Source organism: Homo sapiens, chromosome 4, assembly GCF_000001405.40.
Source record: "Homo sapiens chromosome 4, GRCh38.p14 Primary Assembly".
Lineage (NCBI taxonomy): Eukaryota > Metazoa > Chordata > Mammalia > Primates > Hominidae > Homo > Homo sapiens.
The window spans coordinates 41,511,283-41,530,228 of NC_000004.12; the positions used below are offsets into that span (position 1 = coordinate 41,511,283).

At 38.8% G+C, this 18,946-nt stretch overlaps 1 protein-coding gene across 39 annotated transcripts in view, besides 1 other annotated feature; it reads left to right on the forward strand.

Moving 5' to 3' along the window:
• Positions 1 to 18,946, forward strand: part of LIMCH1 (LIM and calponin homology domains 1) — a 340,438-nt gene that overhangs the window by 151,676 nt on the left and 169,816 nt on the right. For all 39 annotated transcript variants that reach the window (NM_001289124.2, XM_011513642.2, XM_011513644.2 and 36 more), the window contains exon 3: positions 13,127 to 13,196. Coding sequence is in view for 38 of the 39 variants with exons in the window: in XM_011513642.2 (XP_011511944.1) it covers positions 13,127 to 13,196 (70 nt within the window). In the remaining variant the exon portion in view is untranslated. The remainder of the gene's footprint in view (positions 1 to 13,126; positions 13,197 to 18,946) is intronic.
• Positions 13,761 to 14,360: an enhancer, noted in NCBI's record as "OCT4-NANOG hESC enhancer chr4:41527060-41527659 (GRCh37/hg19 assembly coordinates)". NCBI's record gives its function as "activates a minimal SCP1, AML or CMV promoter by ChIP-STARR-seq in naive H9 embryonic stem cells {active_cell/tissue: H9 hESC(naive)}" and the evidence as "EXISTENCE:reporter gene assay evidence [ECO:0000049][PMID:30033119]".

The window sequence follows — 18,946 nt, forward strand, 5'->3', positions numbered from 1 at the left end:
GCAGTGCTGTATTCCCTGTCCATTTCCATCTTCTTAAATCCCAAACAAACGCAATGGGCACCTTTCCCTCCACCACAACATCCCCAGTGCTGCAACCTGAATTCAGTCCTCTGAGCACCCATCGCTGTGACAGCCATACATCCCGAAGTGGAGATGACAACCCTGATTTCAACTGCTGTCTCCCTCATTTCTTGTTTGAAGGAGAAATTTTGGCTGTGCCTAGAGCAAGTCATTTGTCTCACACATGGCACTACTCATGAAGTTGGATATTTTAACTTTCTATTAGATGATAAATTCCTTGAAGTACTGACAGCGACTCACCCATCTTTGTATGCCTAATGGTGCTTGCACATGGCAGGCATGTAGTAAGCTTTTGAAGGGAGGACGGGAAGAAGAAAGATTATTTTAAAATTAATACTTTTGAAATTATTGATATGTTTATAACTAACCAGTAAATTTGTGTAGTAAAATGCTACAATTTTAACTCAGAATGGATCATAGACATAAATGTAAGTGCTAAACCTACAAAACTCTTAGAATAAAACATGGCAGTAAATCTTTGTGACCTTGGATTAGGCAATCATTTTTTATATATAACATCAAAAATACAAGTGACAAGAAAAAATAAATAAACTGGACTATATCAAAATTAAAAACTTTTGTCCTGCAAATGATATCATCTCTCAACCCACAGAATGGGAAAAAATATTTGCAAATCATATATCTGATAAGAGGCTTGTATCCAAAATATATAAAGAGCTCTTATAACTCAATAATAAAAAGATAACCCAATTTAAAAATGGACAAAATATCGGAATAGACACTTCTCCAAAGAAGCTACAAAAATGACTAGTAAGTACATAAAAAAGATGTTCAACGTTGTTAGTCTTGAGAGAAATGCAAATCAAATCCACAATGAAATACCACTTCACACCTACTAGGATGGCTATAATAAAAAAGGAAGACAGTAAGAAGTGTGGCATGATGTGGAGAAATGAGAACTTTCATGCATTACTTGCAGGGTTGCAAAATGACACAGCCATTTTGGAAAACAGTTTGGCAGTTCCTCAAAAGGTTAAACATTAAGTTACCATATGACCCAGCTGTTATACTCCTAAGTACATACCCAAGAGAAATGAAAACACACATCCACACAAAATCTTGTACTCAAATGTTCATAGCAGCATTATTCATAATAGCCAAAAGGTGGAAACACCCAAATGTCCACAGAGTGATGAATGGATAGATCAAATGTGGTATATCCTTGCAATGCAATATTATTTGGCTATAAAAAGGAATAAAGCATTGATGCATGCTACAACATGGATGAACCTTAAAAGCATGTTAAATGAAAGAAACCAGTCATAAAAGACTACACATTATATAATTTCATTTATATAAATGTTCTGAATAGGCAAATCTATAGAGACAGAAGGCAAATTAGTGGTTGTTTGGGGCTGGGGGTTGTGGGTGAGTAAGAGGGGAAGTGAAAACTAATGGATTTGGGGCTTCTGCTAGTGGAAGGGAAACTAAAATTAGTTTGTAGTGATGGTTGCATAATCCTGTGAATGTACAAAAATATTGAATTCTACATTTTCAGTGGGTAAACTATGTGAATTGTATCTCAAGTCATTAAAACACAAACACATACACACACAATGGGATTTAAATTTTTGGCTTCAAGATGTTTAAAAAGTCATCTAGAAATCTCATTCCAAATATCATTTAGTTCATTTCTGATGTGCTAGTATCATATTGTAAAGTGCTGCTCATATTTTAGAACATCATTGAAGAGAATGTTTCATAGATTGATATTTATATTGTCTACTTCAAAAGAGATATAAAGAAAATTACAAAAATAAAACTAAAAAAGGCACATTCATTAAGATCAGAAATAGTAACATCAGACAAAGAAAGGCCATGGAATGGAAGAATGAGAAGATGTTATTACTTAAATACTACATGGCTTTTGCATCACTTAAAACTCTTCTTCTGCCACAGATGAAAAGGCGTTGCTTGCTGTTTGATGATTTTCCTGCCAGAGCCTCTGGCCTCAAGAATGTATTCCCCAGTCCTCTGAATAAAGCTGCATTTTGTATTTCTGCTGCACGCCCAGTAAAGGAGAATAATGTGTGTTGCCCAAGGGGAGATGGCCATATTGTTTTCTCCTTGCCCCATTTGTGTATCCGGTGGTACATAAAAAAAGAAGGACCCAGAGATTTTACTGCTTCCTTTGGAGCCAACTCCTAACTCTTCTTTAGAGAGGAACAGGGGGACTCCACTCATTCCCATCCCCTCTTTCACAAACCAACAGGAACTTCATGCAGTAATGACTGGCAGGAAGGAACTAAAAGCCTGTCCGATGATCCTTTCCCTGGTGTGGTTGCTTGAATCCAACTTTAGTCTTGGTCCTGAGAGAATGATTCATATATGATTAATGGGCCAGGCATGGTGCCTCATGCCTGTAATCCCAGCACTTTGGGAGGCCAAGGCGGGCGGATCACCTGAAGTCAGGAGTTCAAGACCAGCCTGGTCAACATGGCAAAACCCCATTTCTACTAAAAAATATGAAAAGTAGCCAGGTGTGGTGGTGCATGCCTGTAATCCCAGCTACTTGGGAGACTGAGGCAGAAGAATCGCTTGTACTTGGGAGGTGGAGGTTCCGGTGAGCGGAGATCGTGCCACTGTACTCCAGCCTGGGTGATAGAGAGAGACTCCGTCTTAAAAAAAAAAAAAAAAAAAAAAAAAAAAAAAAAAAAAAAAAATTATTAACGACAACAAAAGTTGTAAATCGTTAGCAGGTCTAAAGTCCGTGATAGTTCCAAAACTGATGTTTTGAGTCCTTCCCAATACTTTATAATGTTGCTCATTTCATTAACAATTCACTCAACAAACAAAAATTGAGGCCCTAACAAGGACTGGCCCTTACACTAGAGCTAGAGTTACAGAGAGGACTAACCCTTTGCCTGATGAAGAAGCCAGATAGTTTCTGTGATGTGTGATAAATAGGGAAGCCAAAGAGTGTTGGGACCCAGAGGTGGAAGGTACAGTCTCTACTTAAATGGTTCGGTGAGGAGGTAACATTTAAACTGGGTTTTGAAGGATGAGTAGGAGTTTGTTAGGCCACAAAGGAGTGAGAGGAGGCCTGTGGGAAAGGCAGTTCAGGGGAGGAAGCAGTAAGCATGTGAAAGTGCCTAGCTATATGAAGAGACTTTGTATGCTCAGGGACAAAGGCTAGGACAAGTGCAAGGTGGGGCAGACTAGAGGTGAGAGGTAGGTATCAAGTCAGTTTGTGAACAATCTTGAATAGCATGGTAAGGACTTTAAACAGCATCCAGTGAGCAATAGGCAGCCAGCACAGTCTCTATACAGAAGAGCAATGGGTTTGCTTTTTAGGCAATTACCTCTGGTGGCAATGGAGACTTTTGATTGCTTTCTGCTGTGCCCCAAATACAAATAGGTGAATAAAACACCACGCCTCCCAAGGAGCAGCAGAAATCCTTACTGCACCTATCTTGCTATGCCTGTCCTTAGTTTACATCCTTACTATGCACATGTACGTCTCAGAGGTTCTCTTCCAAGTTACTTGTTTAGAACTTGGAAGTTATTTCCCTATAGAAGCAGTTCGCTTCACAAAGTCTTATGTAACCCAAACCACATCTGAGATTGTGTCAGCCCCACTGTTGAACCCGGCTTCTTGAGTGTGTCTGGGCTTAGCTGGTGTGGGGTAAACTTTTGATGACAAGATGTGGAATGAATAGGAAGTAGATTCAGAATTCTCATGGCCACATTAGGAGCAGACTCCCCTTTCTCTGTAGCTGTTGGCTTGTCCTCGTCATCCTCAGGACGGCAAGTGAGGCTGGGGAGATGGGAGCCTTGAAAAGAGTTAAAGCCCAATTTTGGCAGAAAGCAGGGCTGGAGCCAGCTGTGGCTGCGGTGATCACGCAGCCGGGTCTGTCTTTAGAGCTTCTTTCTGCCTTTCCTTTGTCGGCATCCTCCCTTCCTTCCTCCGCGTCCCCAGCTTTTCTATTGCCTTCCGCCTGTCCAGAGACTACGCCTATGGAGGCCTGTCCTTCAGAAGGATTGGCATTGTCTCGTTCCCTCACTGCTGTTCTTTCATTGCTTCTAACCTAGCCTTAGCCACAGGCAGGATTCTCAGGAGGAGAAGTGAGCCAGTGATCAACACAGCCAATTTTCACCAGTGGGAGGGCTGCATTGAAATCTGCTTGGAGAAGATGGTAATAATGCCGGCCATTGATGAAGTGTATATTGTACACCGGGCCTGTGCCAAGTGCATTACATGCATTGTTTTACTTATTCCACATCCTCAAGCTATGACTAGCAGGTATTTTTGTCACCATTTGAAAGAGGAGGAAACTGAGGCTCGTGGATGTCAAATGCGTAAATAACTTGTCTAGTGAGTTACAGGGCTATGATTTGAACCCAGGTCTTTCTGTCTCTGGAGCTTCCTGCTGCTCTTGGAATTTTATGGATCCCAATCCTGGAACTCTTTGTTCTGAGAACTTCTTGCTAAAGAAGAGTTGGGAGCTGGCTGTGTATTCCACCCCAAGACTGGATACAGAAATCTTCAGAGCTGCATCACAGCAATTTCACCCTCTGAGTTTTCTCTCCACGCTCTTGATAGCAAACCCAGCAATAACTGGGTTTTAGCTGCGCAAAGGAAATACTAATTACAATCATTTAAACATAATTACTACATAGCACAATGATGATTGCATGTATCACTCCCTGTGTCAGAGTAACTTTAGTCTCCATTTTATGTAGTTATACTAAGTTCTTTTCGTGTGTTGGCAGCTTTCACGGTTCATTGATCATATGTTTCATCCTAAGCTTGTAGCTTATAAAAGCAGGGAGAGTCTTGAGTGGGAAAGGCAATTTGGGGGTGATTGGGCTTGATTACCAGGTGAAGGCATTTGGAGGGCATCCTGTGGCACTTGGGAGCCTGGAAGTCCTTGGAAGAGGGAAGGATCCCGGCCAGAGCCAGGTTTTAGCAGTGGTCAGTTGGAGTGCAGTTTGGGTGCAGTGGGCCTGTGGATTAGGATGGCAGAGACTGGTGGCTGGAGATTATCTGTAGAAATGCAAAAAGTGAAGCATCATAGAAAAGCACTCTCTTCAGATTTAGAAACCCAAGTTTATAATCCCAAATCTACCGCTTAGGAGCTCTGACCTCAGACATGTGCCTTCACCTCCCGGGGACAGTTCCTTTACTCCTTATCTAGATTATTTGATTTGATTTTTATGCCTTTTCTAGTTTCCAAAGTCCATAATTTCCAGACAGCAGGAATAGTTATGCAAAGAACAGACTGTAAAAGATATTGGAAATGGATCAAAGCACTCTGAACATATTCAAATAATTGCTGTCTGTTCCTTCCCATGCTTACAGTATAGATGATTTTATTAGTGTTAGTGTTTTAGTATTAAGAGGGATGTGATAGGCAAGAAGAGGTTTTATTTTTCCCCCTAGAAAATGTGGGAAAATAAAAATTGGTCCATTTGTTTACAGTATCCCAAATGTTAGCTCTTCTTCCTTCTGCTGCCATCCCAGCAAGATCCGGAGGGAAGTATGTGCCCAGGTGTTAAACTTCACATTCTGGAACAGGATTTTCTTGGGTACAGTTTGCCTGGGTATTGGAGAAAGGCCTCCTGCAGAGATATAACAGTCAAGATAGTGCTAGGTGCTGTAAGTAATAAACCCCTAAATCTCAGTGGTGTAACACTGTGGAAATGTATTTCCACTCTTGTATGGCCTAATGTTGGCAACAGGGAAGGATGGAGACAACTCTGCTTTAGGCAGTTATTTAGGGACACCAGCTAATAGAGACTCCATCTTCAACATACAACTTCCGAGGACTTCCGGGTGTCAACATCTAACTAGTAAATGTGGAGGAGAGAGAATGGAGAATTGTTTGAGAGGGTTTTTAGGGCCAGGCCTGCATGTGATAGAATAACTTCTGCCTGTGCTTCATTGGCCAGCACTCTATTATATAGCCACAGCAAATTGCAAAGGAGGCTGGGCAATAAAGTCCAGTGTGTGCCCGAGACAGCAGGAAGATAAGAATGGTAAGCAGTCTCTGCCACAGGTGCTGTATTACAGTACTGATAGCACTGCTGAGCCCTAGAAATACACGGGGTCAGGCTCAACTTCTTGGAATTCCAAATCTACAAAAACCTTCTAAAGCTCCTATGATCTCTTCTTAGGTGTGCTCCAGGCAAGTGGCTTAAGTGTGACCTATATTTCACACATTCTGAACCGTGCATAGCATCCCACAAGCATTTGGTAGATATTGATGGCAGCTTGCGTTCCAACACTCTTGTTCATTTGAAACTCCTCTGTTTCACATTTCACTTTTCCCTATATTTTAGTCGATTTTTCTTGATCTCAGAGGATTTGTTAATTTTCCTGGTTTTGCCTGGGCAAGAAAGAAATCTTTTAAAATGACATCTGTAACAGATTTTTGGTCAAGGTTAAATTGATCTCATGCTTAGGTTCAAAAACAGATGCCATGTTATGTTAAATGAAAGTGCATATACTTTCATCCAGGGTACATAGTCAAACCCAGAAAGTGATCAAGGAAACCACATAGAAAAACACTATTGAGCCAAATTAAAAGGGACACAAAGTGGGTAATTTTGTGATCATAGTTGCCTATTGCAGCTGTACAAACCAAGCTAATGAGATGATGATGTAATCTCTTGTTGCAAAGAATAAAGTGATTTCCTATGAGATTAAGCATGAACTTTCCAACCTTGTGTTTAAGATTTAGATAGCTCTTCTGTTCTTCCCGAAACTCTAGGATAATTACTAGAATTGAATTTCTGAGCTAAATGACTTATAGAGTAAGCTCAATCCTTTTTAAATTTGCAATCCTTTAAGAATTTTACCTTTAATGTTCACATTACAGTCCGATAACATATAAGCTGCCCATTGCTATAATTCCTAACGTCTAGATGGTCTCATAAGGTACCATTTTGTAGCACTATTCTTAGTGCTGTGCTCCTTGAAGAACTACTATATGGGCTGTTGGAAGAGTCTGTCTGAAACAGAACCTCTCTCTTCCAGAGTAGGGCTTTGAGGTTTTTGTTTGTTTGTTTGTTTTTTAAGTTGCAGATAGAAAAAAAGTCTTCACTTTGTATTTCATAATCATTAAATGATGATTGAGAGACTACCACATGCTGGATATTAGGGGTGCAAAGAGTTATTAAATGCAGTCTGTGGTTGAATTGGAACATTAGCATCATTCCTGGGTGTCTCAACAATTGTTTCTTTTTTGTTGTTAATTTGCTTTAAGTTCTGAGATACATGTGCAGAACGTGCAGGTTTGTTACATAGGTATACGTGTGCCATGGTGGTTTGCTGCACCTATTAACCTGTCATCTAGGTTTTAAGCCCCACATGCATTAGGTATTTGTCCTAATGTTCTGCCTCTTCTTGCCCCCCACCCCCGATAGGCCCTGGTGTGTGGTGTTCCCCTCCCTGTGTCCATGTGTTCTCATTGTTCAACTCCCACTTATAAGTGAGAATATGCGGTGTTTGGTTTTCTCTTCCTAGGTTAGTTTGGTGAGGATGATGGTTTCCAGCTTCATCCATGTCCCTGCAAAGGACATGAACACATTTTTTTTTACGGCTGCATAGTATTCCATGGTGTATATGTGCCACATTTTCTTTATCCAGTCTGTCATTGATGGGCATTTGGGTTGGTTCCAAGTCTTTGCTATTGTAAATAGTACTACAATAAACATACATGTGGAGCATTCCATTTGAAAAATTGTTTCTTAATCTTTTAAGAACTGTGTTCTATAGAATGTGTGCAAAGCATATCTTTAATTCACCTTCTCAAAAATTAAGATGGCCGTGAATTAGGATGTATGACAGCGAGACACGTATGTGCACCATTCTGGTCTTCCTGTGGGTTTTTAATCCACTAGTGAGCATACCCCACGAGGAGGAGACCTGGGGTCTTCCGTGCCTTTCTTCATATCCCCAGAACCCAGCTTCAGTCCAGACATCATGCATACGCAATAAATGCTTGTTGAGTACATGAAAGAACATATGGCATAGGCTTACTTGAAATGGGTTGCAGTGTGTTTCAGATTTAGAATGTAAAAGTTTAGTAGACACCATTTCATTTGTATCATAAAATTAACATTTATTTTTGATTACTCTCAGTGCCATTAACTTGTTTCATAATTAAGGATTATCCAAGATCATAGCTTTTCTTCCTGTTTCTAGTTGTTTCTCACCTGGTGTTTGCTAGGCAAGCTATAGACATTTGTTGACCTGATTCATTTATGTGAGATTTTTATCTAAAGGTGGCCAGAGAAAGAGAACAAGCAAAACTTATTTTGGTTTTTGCAACTGGCTAATAGGAATATTGAAACTAAAATAGCTTGCAGTTACCTAGCTAAAAGGGAAATGCTCAGTATAGTAAATGAATGAATTTGCAAGTTTCCATTTATCAAATGCTAGCAACACCCATCACCCCACTGGATTCTCACTCTAATCCTGAATAGGAGGCAAAGCTAATTTTAAATCCCCATTTTATGGAAGGGAAAACTGAGACCCTGATTAAGAAACCTTTCAGTAACTCATAGCTAATATGTATAGGATTCAACTTTAAAACCTAGGCTACTGACTCCAAATTCACTGCCTCTTCCTCTTCATCAAGCTGAATGTTGTAAGTTATTGGTGATGTTTTATCTATGCTCTCTGATACCTATGATTTTTAATAAGCAGAAATTTTCTATATGCATGTAGTTGTAACTTTATTTTTTACCGATTTGCAAACAGTGATGTTTTAAAAATATAAATCAGATTATCTCAGTCTCTGTTTTACGAATCTTCTTATGCTTCACATTGAACTTAAGATAAAAAATCTAGAAGTCTTACCTGGGCCTGGATTTTGCTTACACCTTGGCCATCTTGTCCCAGACCTCTTCCTTCTACTCACTCTCCTCAGCTACATTGGCCTTCTGGTTGTTCCTTGAATATACCAAGTCCACTCCTACCTCAAAGCCTTTCTGCTGACTGTTCAATCTGCCTGGAACGCTTGTCCTCCAGTCTCTCGTTGGCTAAAGTCTCTTGTTCCTTTGTATCATTCAACTTTTTTCTCAAATATGACCTCCCTAGCAGCCTTCAGACCATACAATTAGAGTACTACTGCGTGGCCTACTTGTGTGCTATCTGAAATTTTCTTCTTATTTATTTACCTGTTTTCTGTTCCCTCCACTGCCCCATCCACTCACTGTACCAAGATTACAAATTCCAAAGAACAAGAACTTTGCTTGTCTTGTTCACTGTTGCCCTTCCTGTGCCTAGAATAGTGGACAACACATAGCAGGCACTTGATCAAGAATATTGGATAAACAGTAAATATCTGAAAATAGTTCCTTCTCATTGGCTCTTACATTTTTGACATTTTAAAATTTTCTTTATTTTTATTTGTAGTTGTGGGTATATTTAGCACAGAAGACATGGGATGGTACAAATGCCTAGTAGTTTTGTTGTGTAGGATTATGCTAATTTTCCAGAAAATTCATCTTTTGATGAATACGAAGATGATCTCCTACCAGAGAGCAGACTACCTGTTAAGGCCTTTAGCTGTATGTTTTGGGAACCACAGGCAGGAAGTTGGCATAGGGTTCTGCTGAGTGGAGATATTCCTCCAAGTGGATGACAGCCTCCTTTCCTCTGGATGAGGTTGCAGATCATCTGTAGGTGGAACTTGGATCCTATGTGTCTTATACTTCACCAACAGACACTCTCTTCCATTTTCCTTTTATTCCCACCTGGTGTTGATATTATCTCATTGTATTTAGGTCGTATTTGTTTGGGTTTTTGATTTTTGTGTTTTGTCTCGAATTATGCTTTGATGACACATACTGAGGTTGGACTTTCTAAAGCACCAAACTGTGAAATAAAATGGCCTAAGAGGTGAAAACTGTCCCAGCTGTGCTTCAGATTAGCTGTGCATGTCTCTGGGAAATCTTCATATCTGTTTGGGGTTCATTTTTTCTTCTACAAAAATGGTGGGACACATACATGACCTATCTCTACAGGGCAGGACTTTTGGGAAATAATGCACCTCAGAAGTTATATAAATATAACATATCATCAGCATAATCACTTCAAAGCATGTCATCAATAAGTATTTACTGAAAATATTTATATCTTAACTTATATAGGATGGCATAGTGGTTTTTAATAAAATTGCAAGTGAATATCCTTGACTCTTACTCAAAAAATCTCTCACACAAAAAATGTCCTTGATTTAACACAAAATACAAGATAAGCAGGTGTTGGGCATTTCAACAATGTGAATTCAATGTTATCTTTTATTGTTGAGTATTATAAACAGAACACTGGATTGGAGCAGTGTTTACCTGAAAAAAAATACAGCTGTCTTAGTCTTGAAAGTGAACATTATGGCTTTTTATTTTTTAATTTATGGTAAAACATTGTGAGAGAAATCATAGTTTCTGCTACTTTTAAGTAAGGCCTAGTGTTATATGTCAGTTGATTGATAGATTGATTTTTTCCAATCTTCCCTTTATGTGATAGGGAAGATTCTGCCATATAAGTGTAATTTTTACAAAGGATGAATACCATGAAATATTAAAAACAGCTTAAAAATCTCAATATATATAAAAGAGGAGTTTTGAGGCCGTGATTGCTAAAAATATTAATATAGTTCTTAGATATAGAGGACAAAAAGCATACCTCTTTAAAAGATAATTTTAAAATAATGAATTTTGGGGTAGGACATTTTGTTATTTTTTCTACTTTGCCTAATTAACAACAAAGCTCAGATCTCAGTCTGTCTGGTAGCAATGGTATTTCATCTTATTAGAAAAATCTAAAACTATTAGACAGAGTGGTTGATCTGTCAGCTCTGCAGTCATCAGTGGTCCACAGCTATTGAAAAGGGCATAGCTCCATATGTATGGATGAGGGGTCTCCAAGGTAAATTGTTCAACCTCCAAAATATATTGTTAAGTGAAAAAACAAGGTGTAGGACAGTGTGTACTATATGCTACACATATATATTTTTAAATTCTATATATTTTTTATAAATTCTCCTCTGGAAAGTCTTTCAGGTTGCCTTCAGAGAGTAGGCTGGAGTCCTGTGGTACAAAGGTGACAGTGAGATATTTTACTGTATATCCTTTTGATGCTTTTGAGTTGTCAACAACTGTACAAAAATATTATCTTAAAATTCAGTTTAAAATGACACTGTTAAAAACTACTAAGAAAAGTAATGTATCTGAGAAAAGCAAAAGTAGCGAGAAAAAGAATTTTGTACATTTAAAAATGTGGCTTTGGAGATATCATATCTATCTGTGTATTTTAAACCAGAAGATTTGGGATATTTACACCACCTGAGAGAATGCATTGATCTAAGAAATTTGGGTTCTGGGCCTGAGTGTGCTACTAACCAGCTCTGGGGAAGTCACTCAGACTTCAATTCAGACTTCACCAGGCCTCAATTTTCTGAACTATAAAATGAGAAGAGTGAATAAATTGCCTTCCAACTGGTAAAACCAATAAGTCCAAAATAAGTTATAAAGAAGCATTTTTAAAAGGTTAAATTTATGGTTAAAAAATAAGTGCATTCATGAAAAGAGCAGCCAGCTTGGCTCTCCGTGGGCAAAACAGCACTTGTGCACTCTGAGTACCGCCTCTTGGTAGCAGCATGTTGGAATTGCAGTGAAAATTACCGAGAACAGCCAATTAATCTTGCATGCAAAAATGGAATATCCTGTCTGTCACAATCACTGTAGGGACATTTCTCAACATATGAATATATGGTGGTATCAAAGTCAAAGATAGTCTAAATTCAAGACTATTAAACCATTTGAAAAATTTTTGTTACTGATCTGTAGAAATCTGGCAAGCACAGGTTCTTTATAATTTGTTATAACCTTGGATTGCATGAATTTTAACAGAGGTCAGCAAACTTTTTCCATAAAGCATCAAATAGTAAAGATTTTATGCTTTGTGGCCCCTCAGGTCTCCATTGTAACTACTCAACTCTGCAGTTGTAGCACAAAAGTAGCCATAGACAATATGTAAATGAATGAGGATGGTTATATTCCTGTTCCAGTAAGACTTTATTTATAAGTACAGGTGTTGGACCAGATTTGGCTCATGGATTGTAGTTTGTTGACCTCTCAATTATGATACACTCCTACCCTAAGTTTCTCTTTGCACAGTATTCTAAGTTACCTAATTGCCTGATTCCCGAACGTGGAAATAACATTCTACATTCTACAGCCCCTTACCTTCAATCACTTATTTATGAATAACCTACTTTGCAAATACTACACTTTACCCAATTACCCCGATGCTAACCATATTTTAATTTTATAAGTTGCTTTCCTTGTTTCTCTTCACTCTGGGTTTTTATGTCCTGAAAACAGGCAATGATAGTTGTTTCTCTTGCATTCCCTTGCTTGTGTAACCATTGTTATATAATTTCAATCTTTAGCTGAAAATCTTTTGCTCAAATATCTTTTGTACCTAGGGACTCTTGGTTAGCCTTGTTTAAAATCTTCAGAATATGATTGGCTAACCTCTTATTAAACACATTCTTCCCTTTTTAAAGTGAAACTCAACCACATTGAAAAAGCCACTCTTCTCAAAGAGCAAGTAGGGTCTGACTTAGAATGTGTCTTGGCGAATCATTTGTAAAGATAGAAACTGGTCTTTGAATTTAGTGCATCCCTGGAGAGATCCATGTCTTAGCCAGGAAAATTGGCAACAAGCCTTACCTGAGTTGTAATACCTGGTTCCAGTTCCAGATAATTCCCTCACAACCTCAATCCAGCTCTCCCCCTTGTCCTTTTCCTTGAAGCCCTCCTCAGTCTCTACCTTTTCTCATCTCTCAACATTTCTAAATTCTAAAACTTCACCTGCCGTGGACCAACTTGATGTTGGCAAAGCTCTTCACTTATATGCATGAAGGCTGATAGATTATTGAGATTTACTATATGCTTTAAATTCACTGCTTTTCCTATCCAGCAATTTAGCTGTAGCCCCGGATAAAGGTGATTTGTGTGATCCATCTTGCTTTATGTCTCACTTGACATTCTGCCTTTTTCATGACAGGTTGCTGAATGCTATAAAGCCAGGACTTGTTAAAAAGATCAATAGATTGCCTACCCCCATTGCAGGACTGGTGAGTACGTGGAATTGAGATTTATTTTCCAATATTCCTTTGCTCTAACCTAGGGGTCATGACAGCACCATTTATTACAGTTCTCTCCTGCAATATATATTCCACTTGAATGAGAACGCATTGAATCCATTAAACGAAGAGGTCACTTAAAATGAAAGATTGCAGTCATGCCTAAATGGCATGTTAATCTTTGTTTGTGTTTTTTCCATGAGTGATAAGGACCTTCATTCTCAAAGAGCTAAATTTGTTTTGGTGTGAGAGGCTGATAATTAGGTTGACCCTTGGGGGAGGAATGTGATTTTAATTACGTTTTCTCATTTCAGTTCATCACTGCATTCCCCTAGAATGGAGGGTAGGGGAGGTAGAGAGAAAGAGAATTTTAAGAGAAAACAGTCGTTTTATAATAAATTGCTGCTTTCAATATTATAATCTACTTGGGTTGAAATACCACAATTGTAGGCCAACTATCCTGAAGACATACTGGGGCACTAAGGTGGTCTAACGTCATCTGGAGAACTGTTTAAGCAGAATCCTTGCCCTTCTGAACCTATCCACATAAAATCTAAAACTTACATGTTCATATGTGGTTAGAAGCAGAATATTTTTTTCATGCGTTGATATGTCTTATAATTCTTGGCAACTAATTTTTTAATTGCTTCATCGATGTTGCCTTTGTGTAGAAAAAGGAAAGAAGTAGAAGATGAGGAAGACAATCAAATCTTAGTTTTGGAAGGAATTGGCATATGTGTGTGTGCGTGCACACGCGCGCGCACACACACACACAGAGCAGAGGAAGTATGTAGCTCGGTAATGACTCACTGATTGTTTCCATTGTGATCGCCTTCTGCGCATGTAGTTTTGCAGAAAGCAATGAGAAGAATGTCAAGAATTTAAGCAGGATCCTACGTAGACCTTACTGATTGTTGTTAAAAAGCTTCTTAGCCATATCACGATGACTAATTGAAATTAGATGTGACAAAAAACCAATTGTGTTTGAGAATTGTGGGGGGTCCTTGTGGGAAGGTACATGGTTTCAGCAAGTTGAATGAAATAGATGTTTTCTTTAAGAACTGCTATTTCTGTGGATGCATTTTATTCCCCATATTGGTTGGTAGTGAGCTGGTGATTAGTCGTTAAAAATCTTTCTAATTTTGTTCTTCAGAATCATGTAACCAAATAAGTTAGTTAATATCGAGATAGATACATATATTTGGAAGGAATATATTTGAATAGTTCTATAAAATAAATAATATATAAGTATTATATATCAGTGTATACATATATCAATTATTTTAAAACATTTAGTAAATTCACCTCTTCCAAATGTTAAAGCCAAGGTCTTAATGATCCTGATGAACATCTGTTTGTCCCTAAGCCTATGGCAACTCTGGACCCTGGAGCTCTGGGGTTTAATGTTATAGAAGCAAAATTTGCAGCATAAAACTAAGGAAGGCCCCAGGAAAATCCAGATGAGGAGAAACAAGTCACTCCCAGTCCAGTAGCTAAAGAGAAAAGGCTTTCAAAACCTCAATTTAAAATGGAAATCATAAATAATTTTAGTAAAATTAACTGTTAGGGGCACATGCATTTGTCTTTATATTATTTCCTATCATGGATCAAATGTTGTTTCTCACATATTGCCTCTGTCTTGGAGCATTTGGGCAACTTGATACAAGAAGACAAGGTGACCTCATCTTCTTTCCTTCTATTTATGTTCTTGACTAGTATTCCTCTACTTTCTTTTTTCATTTGGATTTCCTTTTCACTTTGTCCTTGCTATCGCTTTTTTTTTTTTTTTGCCCCTTTCAATGAACACCTCCCCTGCTTACCGTCACCCTGTATCATTTATATTTTCTTAACTAATTTATCATCTTTAGTCCAAAAAAATACTTTCTTAAGTAAAGTCACCTACTAACCCATTCACTAGTGACTCCTGAATCTACAAACCTGGTCAAACTCTTTTCCTTTGCTCCAGTTGCCTTGAGATCAACATTTCCACAAAAACCAGAGCACTTGTGGCCCTGGTGGGAAACAGATCGCCATCCCGCAACCCCCTGTTATGTTCATGTACTTCCACGGTTCTCGCGTCATGCCTGTGCCTCCCTCTCTATGCTCATATTCTTGACTGTGTCCATGACTTCAGCTCTCCATGATATTGACCCAAAGCAGCATTTCTCATCAAGTACTCTCTCCTGAACTCCAGACCTCGTGTTCTGTCTATTGGACAGTTTCATCTCGGTATCCTACTGGCACCTCAAACTTAACATATTCAAATGGGACTTGCATCACCAGTCCTGTGCACCTATTTCCCAATGTAAGTGAAGGCATCATAGACATGCAGTTGCACCAGTTCAGCTATCAAAGAATTTTCCCATTTGTCTACTTGTCTGCATTTCCTTGGCCACTGCCCCAGAGCAGGCCATCCTCATCTCTTGCCTGGACTATAATAGTTGACTCACAGTTCTGCAAACACTCTTCACTCCCATGAATGGTGCCTTTTCTTGTGATATGTGTTATTCATTGAATACTTTCCTCCTGCTCTTCTTGACAAAATTATATTTGTCCATCAAGATCTAACACAGACTAACACATCTTTTAAGTTAAAAAATAAAATAAATTAAATAAAACTAAAGATCTAATGCAAAACAGCCTCCTTTGTGAAACCTTTAGTATTTATAGTCCATTATGATCTTTTATTATAGAATACAGAGAATATCCCCTGGTATAGGAGAAAATGAGTTAATACTCGAGAGAGATAAAAGTAGCTCTGTTCTGAAATATATTTTGGAAAGTAAGATTTTGAATAACTATGGTTAACAGTTTGAAATTAAAGGCCTGCAAGTGGTTTCGTATTCATGTCAAGACACTATGTCTTTAAGTAGTTGGCCATGATCAAACTTACCGATATCTATAATGGGTCCAAATGATGTTAGATGTCCTGGTGATGCACTAAGAAATCACAGCAGTTCTCAGGAAACAATACGACAAATCCACATTAAGGGACATACTGCAAAACAGCTGGCCTGTCCTCTTCACCACTGTCAGCGTCATTAAAAATACTGCCCCGTCCTCGGCCGGGCGTGGTGGTGGCTCACGCCTGTAATCCCAGCACTTTGGGAGGCCGAGGCGGGCGGATCACGATGTCAGGAGATTGCGACCACGGTAAAACTCCGTCTCTACTAAAAATACAAAAAATTAGCCAGGCGCGGTGGTGGGCGCCTGTAGTCCCAGCTACTCAGGAGGCTGAGGCAGGAGAATGGCGTGAACCCGGGAGGCGGAGCTTGCAGTGAGCCAAGATTGCGCCACTGCACTCCAGCCTGGGCGACAGAGCGAGACTCCGTCTCAAAAAAAAAAAAAAAAAAAAAAAAAAACTGCCCCATCCCCAAAAGGCTGGAAAACTGTCGTAGATTAAAGATGACTAAGGAAATATGACAGCCTCATACAGTGCATGATCCTTAGTTGGGAAAACGCAACTATAATAGACATTATTGAGACAATTAGGGAAATTTGAATATAAATTGAGTATTAGATAATAGTATTCTCTCAGTGTTGGATTTCCTGTATGCGATAGCTATCTTTGTGTATATAGGAGAATACTATTGATCTTAGATGGCAAATATATATGCTGGAGTATTTTGAAATGAAATGTCATGTATACAACCAATCCTCAATATGTTTAGCAAAAAAGTCTGGGTACATAATATATAATTTCATATACACATAGAGATAAGAAGGAAGGAAAGGAAGGAAGGAAGGGAGAGAGGAAGAAAGGGAGGAAGGGTGGAAATGTGGCAAAATACTGTCTCTAGATAAAGGGCGTACGGGGGTCATGGTACTATTCTTGCAACCTTTTGGTAGGTTTGAAATTTTTCAATATAAAAAGTTGAGGATTAAAATACATTAATTCTCTTATTTTCAGGGGAGACATAGGAAACCTCAAATAATTAATGGGTTTGAAGATGGCAGAGATCATCTTGTTAGTAGAGATGCAGCCTTTGTGTGAGGGTATTTTTCAAACAATATTTTCTTCTTCCAAATATTCATGACAGTCAGGAAAGGGCAGATAGAAAAATCCCTGAAATACTTCTGAATACATCAGGTTGGTTTTTTCACTTTGTCAGGGGTTGACAGGCCACTGACCGTCTGTTGATCAAGAAGTCCATAGTAGCAGGGGCCATAGAGATCTGAGAAGTGTGGCCAGAGGGTTTTCTATGCCTGGAAGCCATGCCCGTGTGTCTTAATGGGCTAGTGTTGAGAAGCCAATCCATTAAGATGGCCCAGCTGCTTGACTTGAAGATAAATAAAAAAGTGTGTTTTCACATAGCAATATCAAATTATAAACATATGTAGATTTACAAAGGCATGAATAGGTGTATTTTAGCCCCTGAGTTAAGCTGTGGTTACAAAGAATTCAGGGGTGAAGGTGTTAAAACAAAGTAGTTGAAAATCATTTCCTGGCAAGAATGCAAAGACCCTGAATCCGGGTCTGCATTTCTTCTGCAACGATTGCTGACATATGAAGCCGTGTGGTGACTGCCTGCAGATGCTTGCATTCTCTTTTAGGTGTTAGTGATACTGTTTGCTGCTGCCAGAGAGAAAGTCCTCAAATTTAGGTCTTGGCATACCAAAGGTTTTTTTTTAAAATGCTGCACTTCAGTCTGCTAGCTCATCAGTATTGTACTATCGAGCCACATCTTGAAACTCAATTTAGTGGTCATCAGAGATCATGCTAAATGTTGTTTCATCCCAGGAGCTTTAGGTTTTGTGCAAAAGCCATGAATGTATGAAATCTTTGCTTATGATAGGAGTTTGGGGATTAAGCCTTTTCTTGCACAGATTTGAATTGTGACAGCCGTCGTGTGTGCACATATGCACATGTGAAGTATAATTGGAAATAGGTGATATTTGCGGATTCTGCCCCTGAGTGCTGAACCTTCTTAGAGTTGTCATGAAATACTGTTTGATTTTTCCATGGGTCTGTAAGGATAAAAGTGATCTGAGGAAAAGACAATTTTACGTCTTAGATGTATCTTAGAAGGACATCTTAGATGTGTTTGTTTTGCAGATGAGGACATGTGGGTCCATAAAGGGAAATTATTTGCCCCACATTAGACAAACAGTAAAAGATGAGATGGATCCCGAGCCCTGGCCACCCCTCTCCTTGGTTATTACATATACACTGTTCCCAGTTGAAGATGGGACACATTTTAATGACATTTTATTTTACCTTTTTTGAAAAAGAGAGGAAGGCAAAAACTCATTTTTTAAGTTCATCTCTTTTTTTTCTTTCTGTCGGCCAATACCTACAAAATATCTTTCTGAGCTCTGTGAAAGGCCTTACTTCATGTATCACTTCTTAGCCTGATGAACGATGGAAATTTGACGCTAGCTGAAGGTCAGAAGCAGAAGCAGGAATGTGACTGGTCAGATGATCCTACCATTCAGTAACCCTAACCCACTCAGAAACGCATTTTGGGGAAAAGGATGTACTTTTCTCTAATCAAAGATAAGATTTCAAATATGGTTAGAGCTTCCTGCCATGGAAAAAAATGTAAGTTTCCATAAGTTCTTTAGACTTTAGGAAGCTTTCAAAAGTTATCTGCTTTAGTTTATGAAAACTGACATCAGAACAGTTGCCATTTCATCGAGTGAGATCAGAGTAGGGGAAGTGATGAAAGAGCTGTAGTGATTTCCACATTATGAGAAGATTAAAAATATTGTTTTGGACAAAACTAGACATACAAGGCTGT